This window comes from Homo sapiens, chromosome 1 (genome assembly GCF_000001405.40).
Source record: "Homo sapiens chromosome 1, GRCh38.p14 Primary Assembly".
Lineage (NCBI taxonomy): Eukaryota > Metazoa > Chordata > Mammalia > Primates > Hominidae > Homo > Homo sapiens.
In genome coordinates, this window is record NC_000001.11 from 151,047,724 (window position 1) to 151,059,755 (window position 12,032).

Genomic DNA, 12,032 nt, shown 5'->3' on the forward strand with positions numbered 1-12,032 from the left:
CACCCCCTTCCCCGCGGGCCTCGGTTCAAACGACCCGGTGGGTCTACAGCGGAAGGGAGGGAGCGAAGGTAGGAGGCAGGGCTTGCCTCACTGGCCACCCTCCCAACCCCAAGAGCCCAGCCCCATGGTCCCCGCCGCCGGCGCGCTGCTGTGGGTCCTGCTGCTGAATCTGGGTCCCCGGGCGGCGGGGGCCCAAGGCCTGACCCAGACTCCGACCGAAATGCAGCGGGTCAGTTTACGCTTTGGGGGCCCCATGACCCGCAGCTACCGGAGCACCGCCCGGACTGGTCTTCCCCGGAAGACAAGGATAATCCTAGAGGACGAGAATGATGCCATGGCCGACGCCGACCGCCTGGCTGGACCAGCGGCTGCCGAGCTCTTGGCCGCCACGGTGTCCACCGGCTTTAGCCGGTCGTCCGCCATTAACGAGGAGGATGGGTCTTCAGAAGAGGGGGTTGTGATTAATGCCGGAAAGGATAGCACCAGCAGAGAGCTTCCCAGTGCGACTCCCAATACAGCGGGGAGTTCCAGCACGAGGTTTATAGCCAATAGTCAGGAGCCTGAAATCAGGCTGACTTCAAGCCTGCCGCGCTCCCCCGGGAGGTCTACTGAGGACCTGCCAGGCTCGCAGGCCACCCTGAGCCAGTGGTCCACACCTGGGTCTACCCCGAGCCGGTGGCCGTCACCCTCACCCACAGCCATGCCATCTCCTGAGGATCTGCGGCTGGTGCTGATGCCCTGGGGCCCGTGGCACTGCCACTGCAAGTCGGGCACCATGAGCCGGAGCCGGTCTGGGAAGCTGCACGGCCTTTCCGGGCGCCTTCGAGTTGGGGCGCTGAGCCAGCTCCGCACGGAGCACAAGCCTTGCACCTATCAACAATGTCCCTGCAACCGACTTCGGGAAGAGTGCCCCCTGGACACAAGTCTCTGTACTGACACCAACTGTGCCTCTCAGAGCACCACCAGTACCAGGACCACCACTACCCCCTTCCCCACCATCCACCTCAGAAGCAGTCCCAGCCTGCCACCCGCCAGCCCCTGCCCAGCCCTGGCTTTTTGGAAACGGGTCAGGATTGGCCTGGAGGATATTTGGAATAGCCTCTCTTCAGTGTTCACAGAGATGCAACCAGTAAGTGTTTGGTGATGAGCCAGGGTCTTTGTTGACGGATCTGAAAAGTCCTGGTATCTAAAACCCAGTTGCTAAGCCAGCCAGTGTTGCTTACATGAACTGTTACTGACTTACCTGGTTATTGATTCATAACATGCATTGGTTATTCACATTGTTAGCCATTGATTCCACCTATTATTTATTGAGCAACTACTGGTTGGTCATTAGGTAAAATGTCTTACTGCTCATTAGGTGATTATTGACCAAATAGTTAAGATTGGAAATATTTTTTTTTTTCAAGACAAGAGTTTCACTCTTATTGCCGAGGCTGGAGTGCAATGGCGTGATCCTGGCTCACTGCAACCTCTGCCTCCCAGGTTCAAACAATTCTCCTGCCTCAGCCTCTTGAGTAGCTGGGATTACAGGCACCCACCACCATGCCCGGCTAATTTTTTTTTTTTTTTTAGAAGAGACAGCATTTTACCATGTTGGCCAGGCTGGTCTAGAACTCCTGACCTCAAGTGATCCACCCGCCTCGGCCTCCCAAAGTGCTGGGATTATAGGCATGAGCCACCATGCCTGGTCTTGGAAATTCTCTGTTTTTTTCACAGACAAGATCTCGCTATGTTGCCCAGGCTGGTCTTAAACTCCTGGGCTCAAGCAATTCTCCTGCCTCAGCCTTCCAAAGTGCTGGGATTACAGGCATGAGCTACTGTGCCCCTGACCATAAGACTTTTTTTTCGAGACAGGGTCTCTCATCACTCAGGCTGGAGTGTGGTGGCGCAGTCACAACTCACTGCACCCTCCATCTTCTGGGCTCAAGCAATCCTCCCACCTTAGCCTGCTGAATAGCTGGGACTACAGACGTGCACCACCATGCCTGGCTAACAAGATCTCGCTATGTTGCCCAGGCTGGTCTCCAACTCCTGAGCTCAAGGATCTGCCCACCTTGGCCTTCCAGAATTCTGGGATTACAGACATGAGCCACTGTGCCCGGCCCATAAAGTCTTTTTGATGCACAGATAATTAACAGATATGAAGGATCTTAATCAATTAATAGTTTTGACCTAATACAGCTTAACAGCAACAAGTGCCAAAATTTGAGGTCTTACTATGTGCACTTTACCTGAATCGATCCTCACATCCTATGAGGTATTATTATCCCTGCTTTTCAGATGAAGAAACTGAGGTTTACAAAGCTAGTAAGTGGCAGAGCCACGAGATTTAAACCAGGTTTGACACCAGTGCCCACTCTCTTCACCACTACCATTTGGGAGTACTGTCCTTCCAGGACAAGGAAGGATAGTCCTCTGCTTTTCCCAGAATTAGCAAAGGTTCTGATTGACTTGATAAGGTAGTCTCAATTGATACGGATGATAGGACTTTGAGGAGGGAAAGGTAATAAAGCTTACACTTGGTCATTTTGCTTGTTTCTGTTTTTCTCCTTGTGTGTCCAATACCATTATTGCATACAAAAATAAGTAAGGGGTGGGCAGTAGGGTTGAGGGAATATGGGTTTGTGGGAGGGGGAGATGAAGCAAGGAAGGGAAAAGAATATAGATGTGGTTGTAATTTCCCTTTTTCTCTATTTTTTTTTCTTACGCAGATAGACAGAAACCAGAGGTAATGGCCACTTCATCCACATGAGGAGATGTCAGTATCTCAACCTCTCTTGCCCTTTCAATCCTAGCACCCACTAGATATTTTTAGTACAGAAAAACAAAACTGGAAAACACATTGTTTGGTCTTGTGTTTCTTTACAGAGGTACCTGAGGGAGGAGAGACATAAATCCCTTCATCCCTAAGACTGAACTATGTAACTAGCAGCCTCTGGCTTGTTTTCTACTCCCTGTCCCTCAGGATAAAATGTTGATATTGCTCATTTTCCTCATTTCCAACATTGTTTTAAAACAAGTACTTCTTTTACAGGCTTGAAAAATCTCAAATAAACGCTAAGAAAAGGGAGTAGGAAGAACAAGGAGTTGAGCCCTTGAAAGATGACAGTGGTCTTCTTGCCTTCATGCTTGGCCCTCTCTCCTCAAAAGGGCAATGTTGGTACAAAATTCCATCTCAGCCACTTTCGAGGAGTTATCTTCATTAGCTATATCCATCCTTTAATCCAACACACACCTGCAATGATTACTGTGCAACTATTTTGCTTAATTTTTTATTTGAAAAAATGTATTTAAAAGTCCAACAACTTTTTAATATAAATTACGACTCTCAAACCCATTCCCATCACTTTATTAGTGATGGTAGCATACATATTAGAGAAGGTAGCTAAAGGCAAGAGAGCACCAAAGGAAAAAGACTGTCCAAAGAACAGGTATTAGAATGAGGCCGAAGATCACGGTGACCAGAGATTTCTAGGAGTCTCTAACCTTTCCACCCTATCCTGTTAACCCTTTAGATCTCTAGTATAACACTCAGGCTACTGAGGTATTTTAGAGCAACAAGCTGGGTTACTTTCAGAGCAACCAGCTTGACTGGAACTGAGAGTAAATTGGGAATGTATGACCAATCTTAGACCCTGAAAAATGGCAGAAAATACATGGAAATTTGAAAAAAAAAAAAAAAAAAAAAAAAAAAGAACCTCAGTCACTGTTCTGTAGGGATAAGCAAACTGAATGGGTGGTGGAATTGGCAGAATGGATACCAGTTCCTACATTCCTGACCCCACTACCATAAAACAGGATGTTTCCTGTTGCAAAGCTAATGAGACCCCACCCTTCTTGTCTCAGAGCAGGCAGGAGCTCATCTGTCTTGTTCTGCCTTCCTAATTACCCTGGAAGGGCCAGAACGAAGAACACCTGAGAATACTGAAAGTGCCTAAAAACCCCTGCTCCTACGTTGTTTTCCCATTTAAAGCAGACTCTTCAGCCAGGGGGCAGTGGGACCTGGTCTTCAGACAAAACTCCCTGAGTCTAATGTGTGTCTAGGACTAGGGCACAGAAATAGAGCTTAAAATTTGGGGAGGATAAGGAGTGTATCTACTGCTTCTCTCTCCCCTTTCCCCAATCCTACCATACCCTGTTCATATCTCTACACTGCAGGAACCACTTCTCCAGAGGGCAAGAATGGAGGAGGGGGACCTGTCCATCATAGCAACATGCAAACACAAGCAAAACACTGAATAAAGAATTGTTTGGAGATTATGTGCAGCCCTACTGAGCCTCATTTATATGGGCTCCTAGTTGATCCATGGCTCGGGCTTAAGATGAGTAAGATGATGAGGGTAGCGTGCCAAGCAGAAATCACTTCAGAGAAAAATATCTTGACTTTAGAGTTGTGGTTCTCAAATGGAGGCGATTTTGCCCCCTAGGAGAAATCTGGCAATGTATAGAGACATTTTTGGTTGTCATAACTAGAGTGGGCCAGGGTTGCTGCTAAATATCCTGTAATGCACAAAATAGGAAACAGGTTTTCCTTACAAAGAACACTTCAGCCCAAAATGTCAAAGGCATCTCGGTTGTGAAACCTTGTTCTAGAGCCTCTCCCTGCTCCCGTGCTGTGAGGATCTTAAGACTCCTAAACTCACAGATGATTGTTTTCAACCTATTTATCTCACCATCCTCAATGATCAGAAGTCCACCTTGAGATGGACTTACTCCTAGTTCTGCCGCATTCTGGGTTTCTTTCCAGACCCCTCTTCCTCCTCTCACCTGGGCCAGCAGGGAGGTTGGCAGAGGGCAGGAAAGATGCCCCAAAACTTAAATGGAATGTCATCAGGTGAAGAGCTACCTCTTACCTTAACTCTTATTCGGTGGGAAACAAGGTTCCTAATAGGGATAGAGTTAAGGGCGGAGGCAACAGCAGGATGAGGATAATTAAGAGAACCTGAATTAAATTTTTAATATTTTAAAAAAGGAAAGTTGCTGGGAAGCTGGTAAACAGAAACAGAAGATTAGAGGCCTAACTAGAAAGAGACACTGGTGTTAGCAGAGAGATATTGAGGGGCTGTAAGCCTAAGGTTTGAAATCTAAAGATAGAGTGGAAAAGGGAGTAGGCACCCCCACCAGCCCCTGCTTGACATCTGCTTTAGTTCATTCCAGCAGGAAGGAGGAGAAGGGCAGGGAGGTAGGGAGCTTCTCAGCAAAGCCAGCTTCAGCTTTGATAATCTCACCCACCTACCCCATTTAAGGAGTTCCAGGTTTAAGAGTTTAAAAACAGGTGGCACCCAGACCATCATTCAGGAGACAGGAACTCATTCCAGGTTCCTAGAGAACTCCTATCTCAGACCTGAGGGTTTCCAGGGCTTCAGCTGAGCTCCTCTGGCTAACCAGTAGTCACTTGATCAGTCCTGCTGCCTTGACCCCATCTCCAGGAGGGGCTATGGCCAGAGGGAGTAGAGGGAGTCCAGCCCCCAAGCCTTGTGAGGCACTGTTAGGCAGATAGGGAAAAGAGGGGTCCTTAGATCACTGGTTCAAGGAGGGATCTGGTAGGGGCAGCATTTCTTCTGGGCTGGAAACAGAATGGGGGTTTCAAGATGGCAGAACCTGAAATAAAAAAAAAGTTTTTCTTAAAGAAGATTAGCCTCAAAGAAAACCAAGGCTTTAGGAAGAAGGCACTACCTAGTGCAGACTTTAAGCTATTTCCACAGTGTGTTCTTTACTTCTGTCTGCACAACACCCTCTCAGTCTTTCTATATCCTACATTCTTTTTTTTTTTGAGATGGAATCTCACTCTGTTGCCCAGGCTGGAGTGCAGTGGCGCAATCTAGACTCACTGCAACCTCCACCTCCCGAGTTCAAGTGATTCTTCGGCCTCAGCCGCCTGAGTAACTGGGATTACAGGCGTGTGCCATCATGCCTGGCTAATTTTTGTACTTTTAGTAGAGACAGGGGTTCACCATGTTGGCCAGGCTGGTCTCAAACTCCTGACCTCAAGTCATCTGCTGACCTCGGCCTCCCAAAGTGCTGGGATTATAGGCGTTAGCCACCATGCCCGGCCTAGATCCTACATTCTTGAATCTTCCCTTCTAATTCCTCCCTATCTCCCATTCTTTTTTTATATTTTGAGATAGAGTCTTGCTCTATCACACAGGCTGGAGTGCAGTGGCGCGATCTCAGCTCACTGTAACCTCCGCCTCCCAGGTTCAAGTGATTCTCATGCCTCAGCCTCCCAGGTAGATGGGACTACAGGAGCACGCCACTGTGCCCGGCTAATTTTTGTATTTTTTGGTAGAGACAGGGTTTTGCCTCGTTGGCCAGGCTGGTCTTGAACTCCTGGCCTCAAGTGATCCACCCATCTCGGCCTCCTAAAGTGCTGGGATTACAGGCATAAGCCACCATGCCCGGCCACACCTCCCTTTCTTGCATAAGATCAGGGTTCTGAGTCAGGGTATCAGGTTGTGCTGTTATGGGGGCTGAGGTGTTAGATGGGTTTCTCTAATCACTCACCATTCCATTATTGGAGCTATAAGCCCCTAGAATTGCTCCATGGCCTATCTCGGTTTCCCTTGGATCTCATCTGCTCCTGAACTGCACCTGTCTGTAAAAAAACAGATGCGAGACACCTTCGTAAGTCTTCATATCCTACAGTAAGAACTCTACTTTGTGCCTTCCAGGGAAGAGGCTGACGCCATCTCCTTGACAATAGCAGCCATCTGCTAACCACCATTCCTCCTAGGGGAGTCTCAATGCCTCTTTTCACACTGGCCTTCATGAGGATGAGGTAAAATGGGTCTTTTACTAATAATATTCCCTCACAATGGATTCTCCCCTATATATCTGAGTTTCAGGATCTGAGAAAAGACTATCTCTAGACCCATTTCCCTTATTTTGGGAACAGAAGTGCATCTTAGACATTATTTAGGATGAAGGTACTCAGCTTTTTTCCTGTCCCAACACTCCTAAATATATGATTTACTGTGGCACTGAGATAGCAGTTCTTAATTAGGAGAAGGGAGAGTTATAAGTTTTTGGAAAAAGCCCTCCAACTATTAAGATATATATACCCCCTACCCCAGTGAAGAACAATCTGCTAAGTTGTAAAGATGAGAGAACCTAGGCCCAGACACCTAAAATGCCAGGTCTCGGGTTTCCACAACTGGTGACCAGGACTAGAATCCCAGGTTTTTACTTCCCCATTGAGTATTTTCATATGTCCCTAGCTTGAACTTTCAAAAAGAGGGAACGGTTATAGACCTCACCCCTGTATCAACCTCTCCCCATTTCCTTGTTACCATGGCAAGTCCATCTCCGGCCCCCATCTCCCCTGAGCCAATGTGAGTCAGGTGAACAAAATTCATTGGTTCCCCAATCATGGTCCGGTCAATCCGTCTTCTCTTCTTCTTCTGCTTGGAGAAGATAAGGAGTCATGTCTTAAGGCCCCTCCTCCAGTCAGCACGGAGGAAGGGAAAAGAGTCTTCAAAACCACTGAAAAGCTAAGGGCCTGGTGGGAAGAGGGGATGTGGCATTTTAACAGGGAAATCACTAGGGCATGAAAGGCAAAGCTGGAACAACAAAAGCACACAGAAGACATGAACCAGAGTAGTGAGGGCAGTGGCCTGCAGAGTGAACACTGGACAAAGAAAGGACATGTCAAAGTCACCTCTGACTGATGATGAAATAATGGGGAAAACTGACAGGTATGCAGCTCCACCTACAAACCCCACCCAGCTCAGAATGGACAGGAACAGGAGGTAATAGCTAGGACTATTCACTTCTTCCATCACCCAGTCCCCTTTGTTCCACATATACAGCTGCCTGACCATAGAAGCTCCTGACACAGAGGGAGGCAAGAAGTGTGCTTTTTTAGATGGCAGATCCTAGATGGTGTGGCTACCTCACAGCACACAGTAACTGACTGCTCTTTGGGTTAGGATGGGGGGTGGGGAGACTCACCGGCTGGGGTTTCTCTACCACACAGCAGCCCAGTTTGTGCCAAAATTCACTCATGTTCCCTGATGGTTCCAGCTTCACTCCGCTGTCTGAGGCCCCAAAGGGCTCTTTCCCTGGTGTTTGGACAACCCACTCCTCACTCTCCCCAGATACACCACCACCCTGGGTTCACTCAGCTGGATGGGTCCAGACAAAGTGGAATCCCTGGAACCTTTAACTGAGCAGTGAAGGTCAGTGTCTCAGAGCCTGAGAGATGAACAGGACCAGAGAGAGAGGTGGGCAGGCAGGCACAAGGTTATGTCTTCCTCAGACTCGGAACCCTGGATTAGAAGAAAGTAAAAAGAAAGATCAGTGAGAAATCTCCCCCTCCCCCAATCCTTGAGAAACCTCCTGATGAGCCTATATCTTCCCAGTCCTCCCTGAGAGGCCCTAGACCTGTACACCAACACTCATTCCCAAACACTATGAACCTCAGTTTGACTCTAAAAAAAAGGAACAGAACCAAAAGGACACCAAGGGGTTAAGGAGCAGTGGCTGGTGGTACCAAGGGAGAGGAAGGGGGCTAGAAGCACTTAGAGTTAAGAGGATGGGCGAGGACCAAAGGATAGTGGCAGAAATTAGCAAAGTTTGGGGTGATACAAGCTCCAGCTCCCTTCTCTCTGAGTTTAGGGCAGAAGGGGAGGGGCATTTAAGTGACTCTGAAGAGGAAATAGTGGTTTTTTGTTCTCACAAACAAGGTCTCCACCCTGTCCCTGCCTTTTTTCTTACCTTGCCCTGAACGCCTAGAGTTTCTTTAAGAACAGGAGAGCCCTGGACCACTGAGGTCCTAGGAGACTAACTGGCAGGTTGGCCCTCAGGAAAGACTTTCTACAATAAGGAATTTCTTCCCTCTCTGTTTGCTGCCCTATTCCTCCTGATTTCCCTCCAGTGAAATCCAATCCCTCCCAGAAGCCAGTCAGCAGCAGTTCCTTTATTACCTGACCTTGAGATCCTTCCTGAAGGCTGTGTACATTCTGTTTATCTGTGTCCTGTATCACTGCACTCCTGTGTGTACACCTCTGTTTGCACATGCGTGGCATGGCCATATCTCCACGTGTGTCCAGTACAGATCATCTGTGTACAGGTTGTGGGTACATGTGCCAGGTATCTTCTGTCCCATGAGGAATATTTTCCCCACCGTCCACATGTCCTATCTGCCACTCTGCTCTGCCTCACACCCTATAGGGCCCAGGCTCCCCTCCAGCTGTGACCTGTTCTCCCCTCCCTCCTCACCAATTCTATCCTCAAGCTTCATCAGTGAACCAGACATAAGGAACTTTCCAATAGTACTAGTGTCCAAGGAAGAACTTCCTCCCTTCTCACTACTGCCAGCCAGGGTAGGACACATCTGGGTTTCTTCTTAGACTCACTTGCATTTCCCCAGTCCTATAGTACAGACAACCTCAAAGATTCCAAAAAGGGCAGTTTCATAAATATGACACTTTAACATGAACAGGAATCTCCCTTTCTTGCAGGCCGGGAACCCTGATGCTTTGGCACCCTAGACTGATTTAAAAACAAGAGATAGGCCGGGCGTGGTGGCTCACGCCTGTAATCCCAGCACTTTGGGAGGCCAAGGTGGGCGGATCACCTGAGGTCAGGAGTTCCAGACCAGCCTGGCCAACATGGTGAAACCCCATCTCTGCTAAAAATACAAAAGATTAGCTGGGCGTGGTGGCGGATGCCTGTAATCCCAGCTACTTGGGAGGCTGAGGCAGGAGAATCGCTTGAACCGGAGATTGCAGTGAGCCGAGATCGCCACTGCACTCCAGCCTGGGCAACAAGAGCGAAACTCCGCCTCAAAAAAAACACACACAAAAAAACGAGATAGCAGGGTGTGGTAGCATGTGCCTGTCATCCCAGCTACTGGGGAGGCTGAGGCAGGAGGATCACTTGAGCCCAAGAGTTGCGGCTACAGTGAGCCATGTTTGCACCCCTGCACTCCAGCCTGGGTGACAGGACAAGACCCTGTCTCAAATACAAAACACACACACACACACACACACACACACACACACACACACACAGAGGTTTTTTTTTTTTTTAACAGCCTTGAGATGAGATCACACAAACACTCAAATGTAGCTTCTAGGGGAGGGGAGAACCCAGGAGGCTGGGCTTTCTCTTCTCTTCTCACCACTGGAAGGGAGGAGTAACCAGAAGGAGCGGAAGCTAAAACACGCTGTCCAGAGAGGGGAGCTGTGGTCAGTGGGACGTCAGTGAGTCAGTCATAGGGTTTGTCCTGATGGTGGTGGTGGCAGGTGGTAAGGGTTGGGGAAAAATGAAGAATTAGAGGAAACCCCCAACACCAGCAGGCAGGCTGTACTGTGACTGGACTCTCCCTCAACATCCCCCACTCTGCTCAAAGCTGAGGGACAGAGGTGGATAGTGCTGGGAGGGAAGAGAAGAGAGGGGGAGGAGAAGGAGAGAGGGAAAGGGGCAGTGGAGAGAACAAGGCCATTTCTGTTTCTTTTCCAGGGACCTGACCAGAGCTGGGTGGAGGGAAAGCGTGTGTGTGGGACTTGGCATGAAATGACCAATGATGACGAGAAGTGACCAGGAAATTCCATTCCCTAGGACATTAGGGTCTCTGAAACTTGAGGGTGGGGTCAGAGTGTGAAGAAGACAGGTCAGGGTGAATGTGATGGTAGCGCAGGGCAGTGGGGGATGGGAACAAAGCCAGAAAAGGAAGTAAGAGCCACTGGCGGCCACTCTTCTTTAAAGCAGCCAGAAGAGAGTGGGTTGAGGAAAAATGAAGTCCTGAGCTGGTCAGCCCAGGCGGAAGAGCCACCCGAATCCAACCCCACAGTGAATAGGGAAGGGGCTGAGAAAACAACAGGAGGGATGAGGATTAGACCTCATAAGGCCACGTCCTGAGAGCCAAGTGGTGCTCAGAACTCGACCTCTCTGAGTTCCAAATGGCAAGAGTGAAATATGGAACCGGGAAAGCCACCCCCCGCCCCCACCAAGATCATACTAGGACTTGAGGGTCTCAGAGCTGTTGGGAGGTGAGCAGAAGGGATGGGAAAGAGGTGCCAGGGAGGAAGGATGTACAGGCTAGTTCTCTGGTCCTGTTCGGGCCCCAAACCGGTTCTCCCGGTCCCACCGCCTCTGGCCCTAAGGCCTCCAACCCGCGGCCTGACAAGCCCTCACATGAAGCAGCTGGAGAGAAAGAAAGAATCGAGAGAATGGCATGGGCAATTCTGGCTAGAAGCCCGGGGCAGCAGCTGGTCCCTGTGTGGAGACCCCGAGACATGGAGGGCTGCTGAGGGACTCTGGAGAAGCGGTGTGGACTCCATATTTCAGCCAAGTGACAGGCCCAACACCAACCTTCCCTTCCCCAGGAAAGGTCTTCTGGGGGCTTAAGAGGAAAGAGGGCTAGGCCCTAAGCCTCCCCTCCCCAAATATATTCAATCACACAGATTCCGTATCTGTCTCCCCCCACTACACAACTCTACCTAGAAGTTCTCTGCTGTTCTCAACCCTTAACCGGACTGGGACCTCTCTGGGAATCTTTCGGACCCTCTCCCTCCCACCTCCCCCAACATTCCAGTTCCTTCTTTTCCTTCTACTCTTCAGCGGCCTCAGCCTGCGCACCCCAGGAGCGTGGATGACTACGGCCACCCCGGGCGCGCACCCCTTTCCCACCACCCCAGCATCTCTGCAGCCCAGGACACCCGCCTCCCCCACACCCCGCATCCGGTGTGTCTCCGCCTGGCCCGGCCGGCGCGGCAGGCGGGCCAGGGGACCAACTGCACGGCCTCACCTGCTCTTCTCCACCATCCAGACGTTCAGCTACAGCTGGTGGGGGTGAGGGACTCTGCTCCGTGGCCGCCAGTGTGGGCTTCCCGGGCTAGCTCTGCGGCGAGGTGGGGGAGCCGAGTACGAGCCGGCAGAGGTGGGGCCGGCTGAGGGCGGAAGCGGCGGCGACGCGATTACGAAACCCGTCCGGCTCGGAGCCCGGCGCACTGCTCCCCTCTGGACTGCGGAGGCACTGCACTGCGCGGGACGTGGGAGGGTGCCTCTGCAGCCCCTCAAGGCCG

The 12,032-nt window shown here is 50.1% G+C and overlaps 2 protein-coding genes across 4 annotated transcripts, besides 4 other annotated features; one reads left to right on the plus strand and one right to left on the minus strand.

Annotated features, from left to right (window-relative positions):
- Nucleotides 28-3,697, plus strand: C1orf56 (chromosome 1 open reading frame 56). Its single transcript, NM_017860.5, has 2 exons — nt 28-1,129; nt 2,715-3,697. The coding sequence occupies exons 1-2, from the start codon at nt 125-127 to the stop codon at nt 2,733-2,735; spliced, it is 1,026 nt and encodes a 341-aa protein (NP_060330.2). The 5' UTR covers nt 28-124; the 3' UTR covers nt 2,736-3,697.
- Nucleotides 356-405: an enhancer, noted in NCBI's record as "active region_1704". NCBI's record gives its function as "activates an Ori minimal core promoter by ATAC-STARR-seq in GM12878 lymphoblastoid cells {active_cell/tissue: GM12878}" and the evidence as "EXISTENCE:reporter gene assay evidence [ECO:0000049][PMID:35858748]".
- Nucleotides 686-925: an enhancer, noted in NCBI's record as "active region_1705". NCBI's record gives its function as "activates an Ori minimal core promoter by ATAC-STARR-seq in GM12878 lymphoblastoid cells {active_cell/tissue: GM12878}" and the evidence as "EXISTENCE:reporter gene assay evidence [ECO:0000049][PMID:35858748]".
- CDC42SE1 (CDC42 small effector 1) lies at nt 3,262-11,899 on the minus strand. 3 transcript variants are annotated; one of them, XM_017001847.3, is made up of 6 exons: nt 11,756-11,899; nt 8,933-9,063; nt 7,954-8,270; nt 7,293-7,403; nt 6,508-6,598; nt 3,262-5,604 (listed from the first exon to the last, which is right to left on the minus strand). In XM_017001847.3, the coding sequence occupies exons 3-5, from the start codon at nt 8,005-8,007 to the stop codon at nt 6,524-6,526; spliced, it is 240 nt and encodes a 79-aa protein (XP_016857336.1). In that variant the 5' UTR covers nt 8,008-8,270; nt 8,933-9,063; nt 11,756-11,899; the 3' UTR covers nt 3,262-5,604; nt 6,508-6,523. The 3 variants fall into 3 exon arrangements, with proteins under 3 accessions (XP_016857336.1, NP_001033796.1, NP_064624.1); NM_001038707.2 differs by having other exon boundaries at nt 8,928-9,063; NM_020239.4 differs by lacking the exon at nt 8,933-9,063.
- Nucleotides 10,237-10,296: a silencer, noted in NCBI's record as "silent region_1309". NCBI's record gives its function as "represses an Ori minimal core promoter by ATAC-STARR-seq in GM12878 lymphoblastoid cells {active_cell/tissue: GM12878}" and the evidence as "EXISTENCE:reporter gene assay evidence [ECO:0000049][PMID:35858748]".
- Nucleotides 10,307-10,356: a silencer, noted in NCBI's record as "silent region_1310". NCBI's record gives its function as "represses an Ori minimal core promoter by ATAC-STARR-seq in GM12878 lymphoblastoid cells {active_cell/tissue: GM12878}" and the evidence as "EXISTENCE:reporter gene assay evidence [ECO:0000049][PMID:35858748]".
- Nucleotides 11,900-12,032: the final 133 nt, after the last annotated feature.